At 46.1% G+C, this 24,433-nt stretch overlaps 1 pseudogene; it reads left to right on the forward strand.

Annotated features, from left to right (window-relative positions):
- LOC100533630 (chimerin 1 pseudogene) lies at positions 6,825-8,383 on the forward strand (annotated as a pseudogene).

Genomic DNA, 24,433 nt, shown 5'->3' on the forward strand with positions numbered 1-24,433 from the left:
CCTCCTTTGTCCCTGATCTTAGGGAGAGGCATTCAGTATTTCACCATTAAATATGAGGTTAGCTCTGGGTTTTTTATAGATGCCCTTGATCAGAATGAGAGAGTTTCCTTTTCTCCTATCTGGCTGGTAGTTTTTTGTTTGTTTGCATTTTCTAAAATCATAAATGAATATTGAATTTTTTCCAAATACTCTTTCTGCATCTATTGAAATAATCATGTGGTGTTTCTCTTTTATTCTGTGAATGTGATAAATTACACTGATTGTTGAACGTTAAATCCACTTTGCACTGCTGGGATAAAACCTACTTGGTCATGATATTTACCTTCTATATATATTGCTGGATTTGATTCACTAATATTCTGTTGAGGATTTTGTGTCTATATTCATGAGGGATATTGGCTTCTAATTTTTTTGCTTATGTTTTGTCTAATTTGGATATTAGGGCTATGCTGGCCTCATAAAATGAGTTGGAAGTGTTTCCTTCTCTATTTTTCAAAAAGAGGTTTTGGGGGTTTTTTTTCTTATGTATTTGATACAATTCACCGGTGAAATAATATAAACCTGAAGTTGTCTTTTTTTTCTTTTCTTTTTTCTTTTTTTTTTTTTTTTTTGAGACAGGGTCTCACTCTATCACCCAGACTGGAGCACATGGTGCAATCAAGGCTTGCTGCAGCCTCAAGCTTCTGGGCTCAAGTGATTTTCCTGACTCAGCCTCCAAGTAGCTGAGACCACAGGCACACGCCACCACACCAGGCTAATTTTTTTATTTTTAGTAGAGATTAAGTCTTACTATATTGCCCAGGCTGGTCTCAAACTCCTGGGCTCAAGTAATCCTCTCGCCTGGCCTCCCAAAGTGCTGGGACTACACGTATGAGCCACCACAGCTGGCGGGATCTGGAGTTTTCTTTGTGAAGTTTTTGATAAATTCAATTTCCTTAGTAGACATAAGGCTATTCTGATTATCTGTTTCATCCTGTGCCAGTTTTTATGTTATTCAAGGAGTTTATTCAATTTCATCTAAATAGTTACATTTGGGCCAGGTGCAGTGGCTCACGCCTGTAATCCCAGCACTTTGGGAGGCTGAGGTGGGTGGATCACTTGAGGCCAGGAGTTCGAGACCAGCCTGACCAACATGGTGAAACCCCGTCTCTACTAAAAATACAAAAAAAAAAAAAAAAAAAAAGCAAGGTGTGGTTGCGGGCACCTGTAATCCCAGCTTTTCGGAAGGCTGAGGCACGAGAATCACTTGAACCTGGGAGGTGGAGGTTGCAGTGAGATGAGATTGTGCCACTGCATTCCAGCCTGGGCTACAAAGTGAGACTCTATCTTAAAATTAAAAAAAAAATAATAAATTGTTACATTTGTTGGCATAAAGCTTTTCACAACATTCCCTTATTATTCTTTTAATGTAGGATCTGTAGCAACCGTAACTCTGCTTTCATTCCTGATAGTGTTAATTTGTGTTCATTCATCTTGTAATACACATCAGCACTTCATTTATTTTTGGTGCTGAATACTATTTCATCGTATGAATATACCACACCCGCTTTATCCATTCATCAACTGGTGGACATTTGAGTTATTAATACTTTTTGGCTTTTATGACTAACAATGCTCTAAACATTCACATACAAGTGCTCGTGTTGACTCCTCTAGCTAGTTTGATTTAAACTGGTTTGATCCCAACAGACCTCCCCAGTTACACCCAGTCTCAGTTTCTCACTGCTGTGTAATTAAGAGATTCACTTGCTTCCTGTCCCTGAGAGTCAAGGGATCATGTAGCCTCAGCTGGATTAAGCCTGGGGCGAAACCTTGAGGGGCCCCAGACATCTGAAGGCTCAGGCAAGCTGGCCTGGGAGTCCCTGAGCTGTTGCAGGAGGTCCAGAAAAAGCCACAGCAGGTGCAGAGTTTTATTCCTTGGTTGGAAACCCTTGCTTAGGAATTCCTAGCGATATGCAATTTGTCAATTCATGTTAATGAACTCACATACTGTTAACAGTATCATTTTTGCCCTTTAGACTGGTTTTGTTCATGTGCTCACTCTTTAATCCCTGGAAATCCTTCAGAATACCTTGTTACATTCTGGAAGATTTTACCCCTTGGAATCCAATTCCTCTTCTGCAATTTGCATATAACTCCAACAGACAAAATGCCAATAATGCTTCACATTAAATGAAAAATCGCCAAGTCCCTTGTTTTCTATTTTCCTCTTAAAGAAATTGTGGGTGAAGCTGTTGAAAGATCTTTATATCGGGTAACAGACCAGGTCTTGAATTTGCTTAATAAGGAAAGAAAGGAAGGAGGAGAAGAAGGTTAACTATGTGTGAATTTATAGATGTTTTGGTGTCTGGAGTCCACGTAAATAATATATTACCTCGCTGTAAAGATGAACTCTGCTAGAGTCTAGGTCTTTAAACACAAATTAGCAGGAGCTCCAGGGAAGGAAGAGATGTTCTGCTCTTAATGATCTTTTTAACACTAGCGGCAGGTCCTGAGAACCCCGCAGGGAATTCCTGGAACGTGTAGTCCTTAGGATATTGGTATCCCGTATTGAATAGTCTGTAAGGCGGGGGTCGGGAGAAGAAATCCTCTCTATAAAATAAAAACTAAAACACTCAAGCAATTAATCCTTTAAGGACAATTACAATAATTGGTATTGGCCTGGAGACTCCAGGCTTTGAAACATTCAGCAGGTAATTTTCTTCAAAGGTAATAAAAGTGGAATATTTGACCACGTTTATTAGCAGGGACAAGGCTTGTCTGGGGACACACGATTCACACGTCCTTCCAATGTGAATGAAACTCAGCCTTTTTGTTTTTGTTTTTGTGTTATTGCTGTTGCGCTATTCTGCCCTCCAAGTGGACCCTCTGGGGCCCACTTTTTCAGCTTCCACAGAAGTGAGAGCACGCGGGGCCCGTCTTTCTGTGCCTGACTGACTCCACTTCACATAAAGGCCCCGCTCCCCCGACCCCGGCTCCCCGCCCCGCCCGGCTCACCCACGTTGCCGGGAATGATCCGTTTTCCTTCTTTTCCATCCACCTTGACTTTCTTATCTCTTATTCTGGCCTCTCTGCAAAGACCACAGCAGGAACTCCTGCGCTCCCCACCGGGGTCCCTCCTCCTCGCCTCTGCTCCCCCGCTCCTCCCCCTCCCCACTGTCCACCTCTGCCCGGTGCCCAGGCTTCCCCCACGCCCTCTTCCTTACCCGCCCCCAGCGCAGTGGCTCTGTGGGGGTCCCCACGTGCCTGTCCCCCTTCCACCCCCACCCCGCCCGGCCCCTGCGGTGCTGCCCCATCCCCCACTCCCCACCTCTCTGCCACCCCCCTCTGCGATCTCATCTCCCGGGGTGTCCCTGCCCACTGCCAGATGCCTCAGCTGCTCCTGCCCTTCCTCTTCCTCCAGGCTGGTGACCTCTGATACTACCTGTGTGACTTTTGCAACTTGCTTACCTTCTCTGAGCCTCTTCTCATTCTAGATGAGAATATTTGGAGGATCAAATGAGACCTACTAAAGATGCCCAATAGACCTTAGCTAGTTCGTACCTGCCTGACTGCTCCTTGTGCCCGTCATTTGGTGCTGGGACTCTTCACTCCACACCCCCTCCCTCCTCTCCCAGGCCGTAAAGGTGCATTTCAGGGACTGGGTAATGGGCACAGCCCTAAGTAAGCTCTGCATTCACCCCTCAGATTAGGGGGAACAGCTTGGCTGATTGGGTGAAGGCACTGCAGGCCAGTTATCTGGTTGCAAAATATATTTTATGGGTTTAGAAACAAAAAGAACTATTTGTGTATAGTGTTTAACAAATATATAATTGATTATGGGAGAAAGCAGCCCTTCCTTCCTTCCTTCTTCTCTCCCTCCCTCCCTCCCTTCCTTCTTTCTTTTCTCATTTGGAAACCTAACCACTACTGATAACATTATTTCCAAGGCATAGATGATTGGCAGCAGGTGATGGAACCCGAGTTTTCCTAGGCCTCCCATGTCTGGAGGAGGTAATGTAAAGAATAATTACTTGGTATTCAAAGGCTCTTGCCTCTACCTGCTAACACAAGAGTGCACGCTTGTCAGCAGAGCTGCTAACTCTGCTAACACAGAGGAGTCCCCGCTATGCCCAGCCAGCTCTAGGACTTCCTGCTAGAGCTGCCACTGTGTTGCCAAGCACCATGCCTCATCTTGATGTCCCCAGGGCACAACTGTAGGGATGTCACTGATGCCCTGAGTTCTCATGGTTCCAAACCTGTGGAGCAGTGAACTCCACACTCCTCCAAGGGGAGTGTGCCAAGACCAGCTTGTAGCAGGACAAGCCGCAGACAAAACCCTCAGACACCAAGTTAAAGAAGGAAGGGCTTTATTCGGCCAGGAGCTTCGGCAAGACTCAAGTCTCCAACAACCGAGCTCCCCAAGTGAGCAATTCCTGTCCCTTTTAAGGGCTCACAACTCTAATGAGGTCCGTGTGAGAGGGTCGTGATCGATTGAGCAAGCAGGGGGTACGTGACTGGGGGCTGCATGCACTGGTAATTAGAACAGAACAGGACAGGGATTTTCACAGTGCTTTTCTATACAATGTCTGTAATCTATAGATAACATAACCGATTAGGTCAGGGCTCGATCTTTAACTACCAGGCCCAGGGTGTGGCGCGGGGCTGTCTGCTTGTGGATTTCACTTCTGCCTTTTAGTTTTTACTTCTTTTATCTTTGGAGGCAAAAATTGGGCATAAGACAATATGAGGGGTGGTCTCCTCCCTTAAGCTCAGTCGTGGAGACCCTAACCCAGTGGCGCTAGAGGAATTAAAGACACACACACAGAAATATAGGGTGCGGGGTGGGAAATCAGGGATCTCGCAGCCTTGAGAGCTGAGAGCCTCGAGCAGAGATTTACCCACATATTTATTGACAGCAAGTCAGTGATAAGCATTGTTTCTATAGATTATAGATTAGCTGAAAGTATTCCTTACGGGAAACAAAGGCATGGGCCAAAATAAAGGGATGGGCTCTGGCTAGTTATCTGCAGCAGGAACATGTCCTTAAGGCACAGATCGCTGATGCTATTGTTTGTGGTTTAGGAACACCTTTAAGCCCATTTCTGCCCTGGGTGGGCCAGGTGTTCCTTGCCCTCATTCCAGTAAACCCACAATCTTCAGCGTGGGTGTCATGGCCATCACGAACATGCCACAGTGCTGCAGAGATTTCGTTTATGGCCAGTTTTGGGGCCAGTTTATGGCCAGATTTGGGGGGCCTGTTCCCAACAGGCGTGGGTCCTAAGGTGCTATTGCCCAGCCCCAGTAGTTGATAGAGCGTATGGAGGCAGAGCTTTCTGGTTTTCACTCTGACCTTCTCTCTCTCTCTCTAGGCTCATGTGTGTGCAGTAGCCTGGGCCAGGAACTGGCTGGAGTAAGAGCTCCACCCTCCCCGGCATTCAGGGCCTCTTTGGGGCCAGTTTCTTGTTCTCTCCGGATGAGTGTCTCTGGGAAGCTCCCCAGCCTTTGCACATGGAGCTCTCCAGCAGAAACCCAGGCTGAGCCCCTTTCTGGGAAGCTCCCCAGACCCTAGCAAATACATTTCTGTTGGGCCTGCCCTGCTTCTGCACTGTGGACTGCAGAAGACCACAGTTCCAGTGAGGACTCCCCCACATGCTCTTACACATAGCTATTTTTTGTAAGCTATGTGTAAGCTTCTGTTTTTCAAACATTAACAACTGCCTATCCAATGGTTCCTTCAGGTATACATGCACTATCATAAAGAATTATTCAGGCGGTGGCTCATGCCTGTAATCCCAGCACTTTAGGAGGCTGAGGTGGGCGTATCATGAGGTCAGAAGATCGAGACCATCTTGGCTAACATGGTGAAATCCCATCTCTACTAAAAATACAAAAAATTAGCTGGGCATGGTGGTGGGTGCCTTTAGTCCCAGCTACTCAGGAGGCCGGGGCAGGAGAATGGCATGAACCTGGGAGGTGGAGGTTGTAGTGAGCCAAGATCGTGCCACTGCACTCCAGCCTGGGTGACAGAGAGAGACTCCATCTCAAAAAAACAAAAATATATTCAAAATAAGTTGGGAGAGCTTCCCAATAGTTGAACATGTGGAGGTCCCTGGAGGGTGGCATGGAAGCTCTCCGCCCCTTCCCCCATACTCACCCCATGCATCTCTTCATCTGGATCCTTTGTAATATCCTTTATAATGAGCTGGTGAGCATTACTCTTCTGCAGGTCAGAAATGTTCCCAGATGCTGCGGTCATTTCAGTTTGATTTCATTGGAGATACTCTGACTTGATGATGATATTAACATCACTGAATCCTTCAAGGAATTTGTTGAATTGCTCAAAAAGGTAGAGGAAGAGAAGATGACGATAGCACACATGCTAGTGATTTTCTCATCAGACCCCTGGGAAGCTTCCAGAAGGAGCAAATAGGCTTCACGGAGGCTGTGTGAGGATGTGGTGAGAAGATGGCCATCTGCAAACCAGGAGGATACTCTCACCAGACACCAGTCTGCTGGTGCCCAGCCTCCAAAACTGCGCAAAATAAATGTTTGTTGCTTACATCCTAAATAAATAAGTAAATAACAAAATAAGTTGGGCAATCATTTAAAAAAAAATACCTGGCTATGGCTGGGTGCAGTGGCTCAGGCCTATAATCCTAGCACTTTGGAAGGCTAAAGGAGGAGGATTGCTTGAGGCCAGGAGTTCAAGACCAACTCAATATTTAAAAAACAAAAACGGAAAAAATTTGGGGCAATAGTCTTGTTTTCTAGTAGAGTCTTTTTGCAAATAATGCTGTGATGCTATCCATGTTCTTGAGTCTATGGGGAAAAAAAAAAAGATCGGCCCTGACCCTGTTTGATACAGATGAAAATCGATTTCCTATTTGGAAATCTTACTTATATCAACTACAACAGGAAGACCCTAATCCTCGAAGGATTATCTGTACTTTCAAGGGAGAAAACAGCCCAAAGTATCATGGAAGAGAGTTTCACGGCATGATCTCTGGAGAAGCAGCTGACCAGCTCTTGAGTGTGGCTGAGGGAGATACATCATGGGGAGAGGCAGCAAAAGGCAGGGCCCTACACTTTAGCTTTCAGATTGGGAAGTCAAACAAGAAACTTCAGGTTCTAGTGCGATGGAAATCACTTTGCTGGGAAGAAACACTGTGTGTCCATCCACAATCTGGTAACTGATGGCTTGATTACTCTCTATATTGAAACAAGGCAGCAGAATACATTGCCAAGATGATGATAAACCCAGTTTATGAGCACATAGGATGCACAACCTTAAACAGAGAGTCTGTTTGCAAAAAATATATGCCAGTCCTGAAAAAGACACGTGGTGAGATTCTATAGGCCAGGATGAGGTGTCGGAGAAAAGGGTGACATCACTCGTTAGGAGAGCAACTCTGAAAGAAAACAAGCAAATTCCAAAATATGAAAAGGTTCACAATTTCAAGGTCCATGCATCGAGAGGCCCACGCTGGCATGAATACCGTGCCATCCTCATGTATGGTCTCATTGCTCAGGGAGTGAACTGTGTGGATTGATTTCAGTGTTCACAAGCAGTGACCCAACATGGTCCCAAATGACTGGAAGCCAGGCTTGAGGCATGCCAACGTGTCCAGCTGTGACCTTACAATGCTTGTCAAAAGCACACACTGCTAAGCAGCCAAGGGTGGCAGACATGTGCAACAGGGAGATTGAGTCTGAAAGTTCCAGTTCTGAAGGACTATACCATGTATCAGGATTTAGTGACTTAACTGATGTCAAGACAGCTTTTGACAGATGGTGAGAAAGCAGCTATTTCTGTGAACACATATGAAGATACCAACATTATCACTGGAACTCCGAAACTGCACTTCAGGGATTTGCCAGTTTCACTAATTGCGCAGGATATCTACCGTAAGTTTATAGAATCTGCCAAAACTACGGATCCTAGTGAGTAATTGGAAACCCTTCATGAAGCATTGAAACTACTGGCACCTGCTCGCTGTGAAACCCTCTGATCCCTGATGGCGCGTCTAAAGAGAATGACGCTCCATGAAAACGAGAATCTTATGAATGCGGAGAACCCTGGAATTGTCTTTGGCCCATCCCTTCTGAGACCTCCAGAACAAAAAGCCATGCCCACACTGAACGATATACAATATCAGAGACTGGTGGTGGAGCTGCCTATCAAAAACAGCGACATTTTACTTTAAATTTTACATTTGAGGGGAAAATAAATGTTTTACAGATGAAGGCATGTTTTATAGTAATTTAATTGGCTCCTATAGCTGAATTATTTCTTGATTAGAGATTCGGGCATATAACCAGATTAAAATGAAGGAACTTTCTGTTGTTTAACTGTCTTACACAACAGTGAACACACACTTTCTGGTGCTAGCAATGCTGGGTGTTTATCACATTAAGAAAAACTCAAGCTATTGCATGATTAGCCCCCATCTGGCAGAAACTCCATACAGAAGACACAAAAAACCTGCCCCAGCACAGCCTCTGTGTCCTGCGTAATCTGTGGTGGTAATCCAGCATGTTTCAGAATAAGCCTGTTGTGACTTTGCTTTAGGATCTGTGTCATTGGTTTCTGATGCTTGTACAAACATGCACACTGAAATGGATAAAACAGTACCTCTGGCTGTTACGTTACCAGACTATATCATATGCCTATTTTTTGCAAATGACTTCTGGTTTCTCTTAGATCCTCTCTAACACAGCACTTTTTTTTTTTAATTTTTTTATTTTTTTTTTGAGATGGAGTCTTGCTCTGTCGCCCAGGCTAGAGTGCAGTGGTGCGATCTTGGCTCACTGCAACCTCCACCTCCCAGGTTCAAGCAATTCTCCTGCCTCAGCCTCCCGGGTAGCTGGGATTACAGGCACCCATCACCATGGCTGACTAATTTTTGTATTTTTAGCAGAGACGGGGTTCCACCATCTTGGCCAGGCTGGTCTCAAACTCCTCACCTCATGATCCATATGACTCCGCCTCCCAAACTGCTAGGATTATAGGCATGAGCCACCACACCCGGCCTAACATAGCACTTTCTTTTTTTTTTTTTTTTTTTTTTTTTTTTGAGACAGAGTCTCGCTCTGTCGCCCAGGCTGGAGTGCAGTGGCGGGATCTCGGCTCACTGCAAGCTCCGCCTCCCGGGTTCACGCCATTCTCCTGCCTCAGCCTCCCAAGTAGCTGGGACTACAGGCGCCCGCCACTACGCCCGGCTAATTTTTTGTATTTTTAGTAGAGACGGGGTTTCACCGTTTTAGCCGGGATGGTCTCGATCTCCTGACCTCGTGATCCGCCCGCCTCGGCCTCCCAAAGTGCTGGGATTACAGGCGTGAGCCACCGCGCCCGGCCAACATAGCACTTTCTTTCCACCACCAGCAAAAGCAAAATGTGTTTTCAGATTTGTTACTTTAATAAGTTATCCATACCAATAAAAAATGTACAACACAGAAAAAAAAAAGAAAGATTAAGATTCTTTGTTGGTGGAGAGGGAGCAACTGGACCCTGGTTATGAAGCCATGGCTCCAAAGCACTTGGTACTTCCTCCAGCAGAATCAGAGGATGGAGGGCAAAGGAAAGGCTTGTGAGGACACACACTGGCCACGTATGTGTCAAATGCTGAGGACAGCAGGGAAGGTGGCTTTTTACTGGTGTTTTTTGAGATTCTGGGAGTTTATTGGTCACGTTTCATTCCTTAGGGAAACCATTCTGGAATTTCATCATGAAAGACAAACAGAAAGCCATTTGGTTGCTTCAGATCTCTTCCTTGGGTCCCCCACTCTTACTCTTGTCAAGTGCCATGTACATGATAAGCACTGGGGATTCAGCTGTGAGTATGCACATCCCTACCTTTAACCCAGGGGATGGGGCACATGGGGAAAGGGAAAACCATCAGTTATAATATTGTGGTACACCATAGCACCTACGGTATTGAAGGTCATTTTCTCATACTTCCTTCATTTTCTCTTTGACATGGCTCCTGACCAGACTTACTGGGGTGCTGCTGATGGTGACAATGTCCCATCTGGAGCAGCCACTGCGAGGACATCGGCTGTAGCAGGTGTTGAAGGGCATGGCAGGTGCTGCATGCTCTGTGGAGCCACCAGGAGCTAGGGCAGGTGAGGGCCCCACTCCTAAGTTGGCAGGGCAGGAGCACATGCTCCCGGGCACAGCCATAGCCACCCAGCAGCAGCTCAGACCCCGGCATCCCTGCTCTCTCAGTGGCCTAGGAAGCCCCCTGCCCCTGCAGGCTTGAAAGTGCCTGCTCCCACTCCCGGGCCTTTCCCCACTTCTGGCACCTGCTCTGGGGTGAGCAAAGTTGTGGCCGAGCCTCGGCACTGTCGCAACCCAGCTGGGTGTGCACGCACTCAGAGTGGCACTGACACACTAGCCCCCTGCCATCTCAGTCACCTCCAGACTTTGGGCACCAATGAGCATGGGAGGGGGCTGGGGCACTGAGGGCAGCTCAGTGTGGACCTGCAGGCACCCATTGTGACAGACAGCCTGGGTGCTGCAATGGCATGTTGATGGCTGCAGGAAGCAGACAGATTCCTAGGTAGGAAGGGGTAGGTCCCTGGTGAAACCTCTTCTTCAAGCCAGGAATGGCCTGAAGCCTGGGGGCTGGGCTGCCAGTTCCAGGTGAAGTTAGTGGCCCAGAGTGAGAACTTCATCGGTGACCATTTGTCCAATCAGATGGTGCCTTTTCCAGGCCTGCCTGTGGCCACCCATGGACCAATCAGCACACACTTCCTCCATTCTGAGCATATAAAAACCCCAGACTCAGCTAGGCTCACACACTCATTGGGATGATCTGCCTGTGGAAATGGGCTACCCACCATGGGTCTCCTCTCCACTGAGAGCTGGACACTAGTCTGGATGACCTGCCTACAGAAAGGGGCTACCCAGTGCGGGTCTCCTCTCTGCTGAGAGCTGGATGCTCATTGGAATGACCTGCCTGTGTAAAGGAGCTACCCACTGTGGGTCTCCTCTCTGTTGAGAGCTGGACACTCATTGGGACAACCTGCCTGCATAAAGGAGCTGCCCACTGTGGGTCTCCTCTCTGTTGAGAGGTGGACACTCATTGAGACAACCTGCCTGTGTAAAGGAGCTACCCACTGCAGAGTCTCCTCTCCACTGAGATCTGGACACTCATCAGGGCAACCTGCCTGCAGAAATAAGCTACCCACTTCAGGTCTCCTGAGAGCTGTTCTGTTGCTCAGTGAAAATCCTCTCCACCTTGCTCACCCTCCAGTTGTCTGCATACCTCATTCTTCCTGGACGTGGGACAAGAACTTGGGACCTGCTGAATGGTGGAACTGAAAGAGCTGTAACAAAAACAGGCTGAAACATACCCCCCTGCCCACTTCTCACCATGTTGCAGGTGATGAGAAGGAGAGAAGGGCTGCAGCCCTTCAGGGAGCCCAGACCTAGGGGCTCCCCAAGCCAGGGCAGTGACACCTCTTTGGGGCTCTGTGGTTCCTGGAATCTCTAAGCTTCCAGGTGCCACTGCATTCCCGTTGTCCAGATGCGAGTGCCCTCAATGGAAGCCACTCATGTTACATCTGATCCAGCCGCAGCCTTTCATAGAGCCAGCATCTGTGCTGGTGCCTCTTGCTGCCTGCCCCACTGCAGCAGCTGGCATGCCTGGCTATGTGCAGTGGCCGGACCTTGCGCTTGCTCGCTCACACACCCCTCACCACTCTGTGCCTGGCTTACCTTTGGCAGGCATGTGATCCTGGCTGGTAGCTTGGCTGAGCAAAGCCTGCTTGGCCAAGTGGGTGGAATAAGCCCAGGAGGCCTAAACAAAACTTGGGCAAAGGTGTCACTGGCCTCAGAGGTTTCTGGCTAGAAAAACGATACCTTAAGGATCCTATGACACTGCCATGGCCTGCTGTGCTTCTGTTCCAGGGGCATATACAGATTCCAGTGATCTGTGGCACCACAGAAAGCCTACTTTCCACGGTGTATATGTGCCACATTTTCTTTATCCAGTCTACCGCTGATGGACATTTAGGCTGATTTCCTGTCTTTGCTATTGTGAATACGATGCAGCTATAAAAAAGAATGAGATCTTATCCTTCGGAGGACATAGATGAGCTGGAGGCCATTATCTTTAGGAAACTAACACAGGCACAGAAAACCAAATACCACATGTTCTCACATAGAAGTGGGAGCTAAATGGTGAGAACACATGGATGCAAAGAGGGAAACAACAGACATTGGGGCCTCCTGGAGTGTGGAGGGTGGGAGGAGGGAGAGGAGCAGGAAAAATAACTACTGGGCACTAGGCTTAGCACCTGGGTAACAAAATGATTGGTAAAACAAACCCTTGTGACTCAAGTTTATCTATATAACAAACCTGCACATCTACCCCTGAACCTAAAATAAAAGTTAAGGAAAAAAAAAGAAGGCTGGGCACGGTGGCTCATGCCTATAATCCCAGCACTTTGGGAGGCTGGGGCAGGCAGATCACTTGAGGCCAGGAGTTCAAGACCAGCCTGGCCAAATGATGAACCCCCCCCGCCATCTCTACCAAAAATACAAAAATTAGCCAGCTGTGGTGGTAGATGCCTGCAATTCCAGCTACTTGGGTGGCTGAGGCAGAAGAATCGCTTGAACCCAGGAGGCAGAGGTTGCAGTGAGCTGAGATTGTGCCACTGCACTCCAGCCTGGGCAAGACAGTGAGACTCCATCTCAAATTAAAAAAAAAAAAAGAAAGAAAAAAGAAAGCCTACTCTCTTCAGTGTCCCTGTCCCATGACAGATCTTTGTTATAAGCTCCTGAGAAGGCCTCCGATGGGCAGCATGTCCGGCAGTTTCTCCTTCCCTCTGGCCCTGTGCTGCCTCAGGGACAATGGCCACATCTCTGCAAGAAGCTGTGGCTTGGGAAGAAAGAGTAACCCTTGCTGCCAATTCAAGCCCCTACTATGCAGCAAGATGTTGGCCAGGTGCTTTCTGACAAAATACTTTATGCCCTCCTGGCACTATGAGGGAGGTTTTAATACCCCCACTTATCAATGAGAACATGGAGAATTTGAGTGTTTATAAACTTTTCCCAAGTTTTCATAACTACTAAGTGGCATAAAGATAAAATTCCAAACCAAGTTTACTTAATTCAAAGGAAATAATTAGAAAAACCTAAATCTAGACTGGACTGTGAATGATGCCTGTGATCTAGGTTTACATACAAATGGAATTAAAGACATTATACATTTTCCTTTTTCTGTTTTTGTTTTTGTTTTTGTTTTCAGACGGAGTTTCACTTTTGTTGCCCAGGCTGGAGTGCAATGGCGCAGTCTCGGCTCACCGCAACCTCCACCTCCCGGGTTCAAGTGATTCTCCCAGGTTCAAGTGATTCTCCCAGGTTCAAGTGATTCTCCTATCTCAGCCTCACGAGTAGCTGAGATTACAGGCACATGCCACCACACCGGCTAATTTTTGTATTTTTAGTAGAGATGGGGTTTCATCATGTTGGTCAGGCTGGTTTCGAACTCCTGACCTCAGGTGATCCACCCGCCTCGGCCTCCCAAAGTGCTGAGATTAGAGGCATGAACCACTGAGCCCAGAACATTTTCCTTTTTCTACAAATATGGGAACAATCCTCTTATTTCACGCACACCTTGGTGACACTCTCAGGAGGCGACCTAGAGAACCTACTGGCTTAAGGGGATAGAAAGTAGGGACAGTCCTCTGGGGGCAGGTACCCTCATTCTACTCCATGTAGTGACAAGGTCTCCTTGACATGTCATTTCCCAAGAATTCGCATGCCACACACATTCGCATATTCCCACGCCTACCTGTTGCACAGAAGACTAGCGTTAGCTTTCACTGCTGGGAGGGTTGCCTTTGAAACATTTTCCCCAAAGTGACCTCTAGCAAAGTCATTCGAATCTCCTGTCTTGGGTTCTTGTCACTCTGCTCCAGGACGGGGGAACGGCCAAAATTTACTGCACTGAATCCTGACCACCTGGGAAAGAAGAAGAAAATACAGCCTTCTTTAACACCCCAGGCTAATTAAAAAGGAATTGCCATTTGGACCTGGGGGAAATAAGTTGAAGGGGAGGTGATTGGTTTTTAGGTAAACTCTGTACTTAAAACACAATCCTTCACTCCCTCTACTTTTTCTTTAGATGAAAAAGGCATGATTTCATCTTGCCAGATATTTGAGGATATTCAGATCAGGTGAGTCAAAGCCATTTGCAAATGTTATTATCTCTTGTATAAAAGTAGGACAAAATGAGAGTATCGTCTTCAAATCTGCAAATGAACCCAGGTCACCCAGATCTTCAGCAGAAATCAATAAACCCATAAACCCGTGACTGCTCATGACAATCAGTTTCTTTTTTGTTTTAAAACTGGCAGTGGCTTTCACTCTCTTTAAAGCTTTAGTCCTGCACTGGACTTTTTTCCTGATACTTCAGAGATCATCCTGGGAAATAAACCTGCCATGCCTTACCTACGGGCAAGGAGTCAGACCCCGGATTCTGACTTCCTGAGAATGATGGAAATTTGGATCCTTGCTGCTCTTCATGGATCTTATCCTGCCTGCACGCAGCAAGACAATGATCAAATTTTCAGGTGGAACTAGAGCTCCAAGGAGTCTGGCGGCTGGGAAAGGGATGCATCCCACTGGCCCCAACCCTATTCCAACTCCTTTCCTGGCTCTAACTAATGCCCAGGTTCTGGGATTTGCAACACATACCTCACCCTGTGGCCCCCCAGCCTCTCGGGATGCCCCTATCTTTTGGCCTGGCCTGACCTGGCCTGACCTGGCCTGGTTCTTCTCTACTACTTTGGGATATTTACGAAGTTTTCCATTCTTACAAGTCTAGCGCTGCTGCAGATCGTCTGGCTCTCTGGCTACAGCTCGAGAAATGTTCTCACCCACCCACACAACTGCTGGGTGACCTGAATGCACCCAAGTTCAGGTAACATGACAGAGATGGAGAGACAATTAGTTAGCTGCAGGCCTATATTAATCAGTCTCTCCAAATGCAGTCAAGGCACAGAGCCAAGGGGAGTTAGCCCTTTTTGATTGTTTGCATCTGAATTAAAGTAGTCGCTCCTTTCATCAATAGCAATTAATATTTCCTGAGTGCTTCCCAGTAGCATGGCATTGCATTAAGTCTTCCTAGGGCTTTTCACAACATAGAGGATGTGAAATTTCTGGTCTCGATGAGCATATAATAATAAGCAAGACATGACAATTAATTAGCAAATATTTACAGAGTGTGTATTTAGCCTAGCCATTTCGCTGGAAGCTTATACACCACAACTCAATAATCATAGAAGGGACCCTCAAATAGGTGGAGGCTGTCTCCAAAGCCCTGAGCTTCACAAAGGCGTGGGAGAGTTTGCTCTCACACTCTGGCCCCAGGCACCGCCAATGGTTTCCAACCATAAGCAGCACCTTCCTCTCAGGGAGTGCCTGGAAATGTATGGCAGCATTTGTTATCTGCCTTAGGCTACAAACTGGCATTTACTGTGTGCAGTACAGGGATGCTGATGTTCGACAATGTGCCAGACAGTCCTTCACAACCGAGAACTTTCCCACGCAAAATGCCTGTAGAACTCCTGTTGAAAGCTGACAGAGTAAAAGCTATGAAAATATTCAGAGGATTGAGGAGTCCTCTGGCGATTTTCCTCTCCCAGAGTTTGAGAAATCCTCTTTTGGAAGGGGAATGACGTTTGGAGGGGTGAGGGCCAGGTTAGCCCAAACTCTCCAGGAGCCTGACTGCTTCAGGCATCAGAGAGTAAGCCTCAGTGGTCTGTTCTGCTAACAAGTCCAGAAGATCATATTTTTCACTGTTATGGCTGAGTTACCTCTTTTGGAAGAAGTTAAGCAAGATTCTCAGTTTAGAATATTATTTGGTCCTTGTTTTCAACTCAACAGTCACATCACAGTGTGTCTTTCAGGGTAATGTTTCTTAATAATTGCGACCAATTAAAAAAAGGAAACAAGGAACATGAAGTATAAACGGACTAGCGCCCTGTAGTAAAATGTTCATCGGAGACCCCATAGCCACCTGAGCCCCAAGCTTCCCACGATGGTCTGTGTTATGGCCGAGCTGCCCGCAGATTTGCAGCAAGAGGCCAGTGAGGGGCAGCCTGAAACCACAGAAAGCAGTGGAACAGGTCGGGCGCGGTGGCTCATGCCTGTAATCCCAGCACTTTGGGAGGCCACGGTGGGCAGATCACCTGACGTCAGGGGTTCGAGACCAGCCTGGCCCACATGGTAAAACCTGGTCTCTACTAAAAAAAAAAAAAAAAAAAAAAAAAAATTAGCGGAATGCTGTGATGGGCGCCTGTAGTCCCAGCTCCTCGGGAGGCTGAGGCAGGAGAATCACTTCGACCTGGGAGGTGGAGCTTGCAGTGAGCCAAGATCGCACCGCTGAACCAGCCTGGGTGACAGAGCAAGACTCTGTCTCAAAAAAAAAAAAAAAAGAAGTGGAACAAGCTGTGGCCAACCCGGGGCAGGCATTCTGAGAGAGTAGCAGGGACGGAAAGGAGAATGACACCCAGCAGAAGCAGAATGTGGACGAGCAAGCCTGAATCTGCAAGAGGGGGCAGGGCATGTGGGGTAAGGCACCAGCGTTCCAACCCACTTGCAGCAATGCTCTTTGGAACCAGACTGAAGCGTGGCCTTGGAGAGCGGCATCTGGCTCTGAGGAAGCCACTGACGCCTTCGGGAAGGTGAGCCGTCTTCGTTCACTCACAAGAACAATTAAGGCACAATTTCTTTTTTAATTAATTAATTAATAATTTTGAGACAGGGTCTCACTCTGTCACCCATGCTGGACTACAGTGGTGCCATCCTGGCTTACTCCAGCCTCAACCTCCTGGCTCAAGTGATCCTCCTGCCTCAGCCTCTCGAATAGCTGGAACTGCAAGCATGCATCATGACAGTGGCTAATTTTAAATTTTTTTGTAGAGAGCGAGTTTCCTTATGTTGCCTAGGCTGGCCTCAAATTCCTGGGCTCAAGTGATCCTCCCACCTTGGCTTCTCAAAGTGTTTGGATTACAAGTGTGAGCCATCACGCCTGGCCTCAGGGGTTTCCTTTATCACTTATTACCACTTCTATTTTCTAAGAGATCCTTTTGTACATACAGCCTAAGACAGCATCAGTCCTTTTTCGCAGTGGTGATGTTATGGGCTCATATGTACCCTAAGTAATTACTCACTATTACTCCTTCTTCGAAAGAAGGAGGAAACTACATTGCTGTTTCTTAAACAGCAGCCTTCCCTGTTAGATATCTGTGGAATATTATTTCTCCCCAGGTGCATTACCTTACATTAACCTATACACTTATGCTAGGATTACATTATGCTAAATCAAAAGTGCATTTTTTATATAAAATATTTCCAACTTACCATGGGTTTACCTGGATGTAATCTCATGGTAAGTGGAGGAGCTACTGAATGCGTATTGCTTTTGCACCACTGTAAAGCTGAAACTCGTAAGTCAAACCATAGTAAATCAGGGACTATCTGTGTTAAATCTAATCTTGTTCACTTCATTTCCTCACTAAATTTGCCAGATCAAACTACAATTTAATCCCTGTTCTTCTGTCTCCCTCCATCTCTTTCTTCCTTCCTCCTTCCTTCCCTTCCTTCCTTTCTTTTTCTTTGTCTTTTCTAATTTAGTAGTACAAATCATTTTCCTCTTTCTCGTTAGTAGATAAATTGTGGTGGATAGAGTGTAAACAGTGTTACACTCTATACCTCCCCCTTCCAAGAGCATTAATAATCAGTGCTTACTGTTGTCAATCTGATTGTCAACAGTTTGCATTTGTCATGAGGGTTGGCAGTAATGGCTGTGGATTTGGCTTTACTGGAGGGGAATTAGTTGTGGAGTCCTGATAAGATAAGTAAGCAACAAAGAGGAAGGGACCCCAGGTGGAGAAGCACCCTAGCTGGGGAAGAACAATGAACAATTGTTCTAAGAAACAGCTAATCACAACTCCTGGGTACAATGATCTCTTTCTATGGGCACAACGACCTCTTTCTGCAGGTAGCCCCTCCAGTGCGACCCTATAAAACTTCCCTCCAGCCTCTGCCTCTTTGCAGGCAGCCCCTTCTCTGCCGTGCTGCCTGTTGCTTTCTTGCAACATATTTTCATACTTTCTCTAATAAATCTGCCTTTCTTTACCTACAACGGTCTTGGTAAATTCCTTCACCACCCTTGCCACTGGCCCCAGCTAGTCCCGCCTGTGACATTAGTGTCATCTATTGAACTCTTAACTGTTGAAGTAATTGTTTTCCTTTGCAGATTGACCTGGCTTTCCTGCTCATAGTTGGCTATTGGACAGTCAGCAACCTTGCACTTCCTTTTCTCTGTAACGTAGGCATTGATAGGAGGGGACTCGTATCCAATCATACTTGCATGTGCACACTACACTCTTATCCCACCGTTACTTCTCCAGGCTACACCATGATGGCAGCTGGGAAGAGCAGCGCTCCATGGTTGGCCACTTGATTCTCGGTCAAGACTCCTGCCTTCTAGTCCCACTTAGTTACAGCTTTGGCTGGCGCAGGACGCCCAGCCTCTCTCTATCTTGGTGTTCTCTGTCTGTAAGATGGAGAGCACCTCACAAGATGTGGGGTGTGTGGGAACAAGCCAACATCTGGGGTATTTTTAAGAGGCTGGGATTTTAAATAGAAATAAATAAATAAGGCTTCAAAAGTCAAATCCTAAAAAAGATCATAACAAGAAGAGATCACCTGTATAACTGGGATTGCAGGGCTTGAAGCAGAGAACACAGGATTCAGTAAGTTGGCTCTCAGTTGTATCTTTGAGGTATGACTGGGTCCTCATGCAGCTCAAAAGTTGGGGAACTAGGTGTGGGTCCATACACGCGAGTGCAGCCAGCACCATCTCTAGCACCTTTTAGTTTCACATCCTCCCATATTGCACGGATGCATATGACTTTGGAAGAGATGCTGGGTTCTAGGGATAATCCCAGAATCAGGTAAGTCTGGGCTACACTGAGTATCCAAGTTCATTTTTCAATCATTCATGTCAGAGAAACTGATGAAACTCTGTCATTTTCAAAACAGGAAGTGACTTCCCCAGGATCACACAGTTACAACACTTCTAGGTCCAGACCACACGCCAGAGTGCAATTCTGTGTGGTGGTTAGGAGCACAGGCTTTTGATCTGACAGATCTGGGCTTTAGAACCCTTGGAAAGCAAGCAGCACATCTGTCATTATTTGCAGTCTACCTGGGAAACCCAAGAAAATCGGTCAAAAATTTGACCAATTTACTAGTCTTGTCTTCAGGTGAATATTGTAAAATAATAATGATTCCTAAATTGATATTTTAGGTTGAATTCTAGAGTCGGAACACATAATAACAAATCCAATTTTGTAAATGAGGGCAGATGTGTACTGAAACATATTTAAATACATATTATATATTAAACACATGTGCACACATAGGATGTGATACTTGCACAAGAGTGAACAGACAAACCAATGGAAGGAAGGGTGAATTATTAAATAAATAGTGATACAAAAAAAATTGAAGGCCCATTTTTTTCCAGGTAAAGTAAGGCAGTAAATGTAAAAAAAAAAAAAGGTCACAATAAGAAAACTAGGGGGAAAAAATAGCTAAATACTTATATGACCTATGGCTGGGAAAGAACTTTGAAAACATTGAAAGTACAAAGAAAAAGATAATTTGACCACATAAAAATGTAAAACGTAGGCACATAAAAAATAATTTAAAACACAATAAGCTAGAAAATGACAGACAAGGAGTTAATGTTTCTTCTTTCATTTGGCAAATATTTCTTTTTTTCCTTTTTTTTTTTTTTTTTTTTTTTTGAGACAGAGTCTCGCTCTGTCACCCAGGTTGGAGTGCAGTGGCAGTGGCGTGATCTCGGCTCACTGCAACCTCCGCCTGCCAGGTTCAAGCAATTCTCCTGCCTCAGCCTCCCGAGTAACTGGGACTACAGGCAAGTGCCACCATGCCGAGCTAATTTTTTGTATTTTTAGTGGAGAAGGGGTTTCACCATGCTGGCCAGGTCGGTCTCAAACTCCTGACCTCCTGATCCGCCTGCCTTGGCCTCCAAAAGTGCTGGGATCACAGGCGTGAGCCACTGTGCCTGGCCTCGGCAAATATTTCTTGAGCACCTACTATATGCCAGGTACTTGCTATGTGCTGGGTGTGCAACAGCAGACAATATAGGCAAAAGCACCTGCCCTGAGGGAGTAGACAGTGGACAAGTTGTTAAGAGGGGCAGCAAACCCCAGCAAGAAAATGGACAGAGCATATGAGCAGACAATTCACCTAAGAGAAAAACTGAGCACATAATCAACCCCTGTGTGGTGCTTCCCCAAGTCTGGCCTTAATTCTGCAATCGGAACCTAGATCCTGTATCAACTGCCCAGCTCCCATTTGGAAGCCCAGCTCCCTCCTATTCACTGCATCAGACCTTTGCCAACACTGGCTTCCCTGTCCATACTCTTCAGCCAGGCCTTGCCATCCCTGCCACCCATCTGGGATTCCAGGCTCCCTGGAATGGTTTGGGATCCCGGCTCCTCCATGTAAGACCTGCATGACCTTGGGCAGGTCACTTACCCTCTCTGTGCCTCTGTTTCCTCACCTATGGATTGTCAATTAAAGTAGTACCCCTCTCTTAGGGGTGAGGACCAAAGTCCTCAGGACAGCACCTGGGCAGAGAGGCAGCTCTCAATAAACAGCCGTAATTATGGCTCTCCTTTCAAGGTGGCCCAGAGCCGGGTCTACCGAGGGGCAGCTGTGCTGGGACTGGAGGAAAAACCCACTCCCCACAGGCCAGCGGGAGAGCTGCCTCGGTGCAGGACTGGCCCTGCGTCAAAGGTTTACAGCAACTGCCCTCACCCTCATGGCAGTCAATCTCTCCTCTGAGCCGACTCCGGGGGCGCAAGGCTGGGGAGAACTCAGGATCAGGAAACTCTCACTTCTCGTTGTTCTTATGGACATGTTGTGGGTCTTTATTTGTGACATCCAAACGCACTGCATTGCAGGACTTCCCGCTGACGCTTCATGAGCTCACCTGGTATGGTTCACCAAGTCCTAATAAACTCCTACCTGGCCTGTCTCTTGAGCCAATGCGAAGCAATGGAAAAAGACCGGAAAAAAGGTCTCCTTGAACCCCCAAATAATTAATGAAAACTAAGAAATCTTGCTAGCATTCCTCCCCTGATCTTGTCTAAAACAAGCCCTACCCTATAACATGTTTATTCTTCTGCCTGGGCTTCTTCAGGTATCCCCCCGGGGAAATGCTACAATCCTGGGGTTGTATTTCAACGTGGCTCAGTCCTGCCTTGGCAGTGGTACAAGATAGCAAAACTACTGTTCTCCAAGGTAAGAGGGAGATTTAGGGTTCGTATTCCAAGTGGCTGATGTGAAATTTCAGGGTCTCTTGGATTCTTGGCTTGGGAGCAAGGCCGTGAATAACTAAGACTTTCAAAATGTCTTTATTCTCCCTGCTCCCTTACAAAGCACCTTAGGAAGGAGAAAGTGCCACATGGAGAATTCCATAGTGGAACTCTAATGCTGTCCTCGTTCACAAAACCAAGATATATTTCAATACAACAATACAAACATAGCTCTTGGCCATAAAGATGGAATTTTCAAAAGCATAGACGATGCTCAAATTTTTATTTTCAAATTTGAAAGTTCCTTTTCCTAACTTCGACCCTCCAGATTTGCATGTAGGAATATTATAGTTCATCAAAAATTCATATTCCAGTACATTAATACAGTGGTGAAACATAGGAGAGAGAACATGTATATAGCATGAGTATGCAAATTAATAGGCATGCAGCTTTGAAAAGGAGATCCTGTTAGAGATTTAATTTTAACTGTAGCAGCACCTGGTTTCACCTTTGTTTTTCCTTAACCCATGTTCTCTTTTATAATCCACAATTAAATAAAGCATTTACATAAGGATATTTTTACCTGGCAAAAAAAATAGCTAGAGAATTACTGGCTGAATAAAATCTCCCAACGATAAGCAACAGGCCAGTTACATAAATGAATGAACAGGCAGTATAGGCAACAGGACCAGTAGAGCCTGTAAACTGAAGATAAGCTTCGGGGGGCAGCAGCCACTCAGCCCGCACCTGCCAATTTTTGCCATTCAGGCTGGGGGTGCAGTGACGCAAGATCTTCCGATTTTTCAAGAGAAGTCAGACATCCTGATGTTTATGAGAAATGTCCAAAATTTTTAATTTGGAAATCCATGCAAAAATCAAAACAAAACATGGTACAAACAAACAAACACATCTCTAGTCTGGTAACATATTTTATGAGTTCCCAGGTAGCAAGCTCTGTAGTAAGGGGCAGGTGTTTGATTTTGTTTTGTTTGTTTTTACTTATTTTCTTTTATTTTTTGGAGACGGAGTCTCACTCTGTCGCCCAGGCTGGAGTGCAGTAGTGCGATTTCGGCTCACTGCAACCTCCACCTCCCAGGTTCAAGCAATTTTCCTGCCCCAGCCTCCCGAGTAGCTGGGATTGCAAGCACCCAGCTACTTTTTTTGTATTTTTAGTAGAGATGGAGTTTCACCATGTTGGCCAGGCTGGTCTCAAACTCCTGACCTCAAGTGATCCATCCCCGCTCAGCCTCCCAAAGTGCTGGGATTACAGGTGTGAGCCAGTGCGCCCGGCCTGTTTTCAGTTATTTTGAATGCTATTTGAGTTTCATAGCAAAAGGAAAATTCTCATAAAATGTTGAATTTGAAGATACAAATGTATTTAAGAAAATAACATTGATAGCTTAAAGTGGAGATTTTTATCTAAATGAGAACTATCACTGGAAACTGTGATGACACATAGAGGAAGTATAGAATGTTCTAGTACCTTCTGAGTCAGGCTAGCTGCATGGGCAGGCTAGCACAGTGTCTTGATTGAGGGTTTTTCATGATGCCATATCACAGACCTATGAGAAGATGGGTTTCAAAGGACAAGTCATAGGTAACCTGTAAACAAGTAGTTAAATCCACTTTGGCACTGAAAGTTCCTTGAAGCACAGGTTAAATTTGTTCTGGGTAAATTGCTTCAGATTGAAGAAGCTGACACTTCCCACTTCCTTCCTGTTTCTGTTTCCACTTTCTGTGTCCTAACTTTCTTCCTCCAGATCAGTTAGTTCTTTCCTCCTCCTGGACTGGTTTCATCATATCTATCATACAGACAATTCTTCTTGATTAATTAAGATAATCGTTTTGGTTTGGTTCTGAAATGCATTATCCCACCTTCTTAGTTATTTACAATATTTTCCTTAGGCTAATGTTAAAATTGGTCTGAGGAAACTATGCCACCCCGTTCTCCCACCCAGCCATGCCTTTCTCCTGCTACAGAAACTCCCATGCACAGAGACAAGGACAGCCACTATCTGGAAGTGCCGGGAGCCATGTTGGGATTTATGACAGGTGCTACACCTATTCTGGGGGCTGACGATGGAATGCACTTCTGGTCTGCTCTGCCTTAATTTGTTTTTCTAGACGTGTTCAACAGCTGGACAAGATCCCTATGATCAATTAGGTGCTGTGCCCTTGAAACAAACACTCACACAAACAGCTGGAGAATCCCTGCAGTCTCACACTCCCCATGGCAGTCCCTAAGAAGCTCGGCTTTCCCATGACCAGACATCTAGAAACAGAATGAGTGAGGCAGGGGAGGCGTACGGTATAAGAAGTGGAAGGAAGATTCTAAATGTAAAGAAAAGAGAGACCCCAAGGTCAGGCACTGTATTTGGTCCTGGAGATACAAAGATCCATATAGTGAGATATCTTACTAAGATCATAAAATAAATAAGATGTGGGATCTTAGAGTCTAGGAAATGGAACAGACAAGTAACTCAATAACTACCAATTTAGTATAATAATAGTAATAGAATGTACAGGCCTCAGAGGATGTGCAGAGAAGCAAGAGTGAGAAACCCTATCTGAGGGCATAAGGACAGGTTTTGTTGTTGTTGTTGTTGTTGGGTTTTTTTTTTTTGAGACGGAGTCTCGCTCTGTCGCCAGGCTGGAGTGCAGTGGCGCCATCTCGGCTCACTGCAACCTCTGCCTCCCGAGTTCAAGTGAATCTCCTGCCTCAGCCTTCCCAGTAGCTGGGACAAGGACAGGTTTTAAAGAGAATTTAGCCACAGAGTTTTGAGAGAAGAGTCGACTAGAAAGATTCAGCGGGGCAGGATGCTCTGGGCGCGATGGAGATGGGCATATACAACCTAATAAAGAAGACAGGAACGACCGCCTCCTGCCCTCTAATAAAGACATGCGGCCTGTTTCCAGCCATAACATATAGGTGTGTCTGCTTAGTGGACACTGAAATGAAGAGCAGGCTCAGAGCCAAGCATGTTAGACTGGGGCGTTCAGGAAAGAGCAGAGAAGTTTGCTGCTCAGTAAAGAGGGGAGAGGGGGACCCCAGGCCGCTGTGAAGGCTCTGGAGGAGGCAGAA

Source organism: Homo sapiens, chromosome 4 (assembly GCF_000001405.40).
Source record: "Homo sapiens chromosome 4, GRCh38.p14 Primary Assembly".
Classification (NCBI taxonomy): domain Eukaryota; kingdom Metazoa; phylum Chordata; class Mammalia; order Primates; family Hominidae; genus Homo; species Homo sapiens.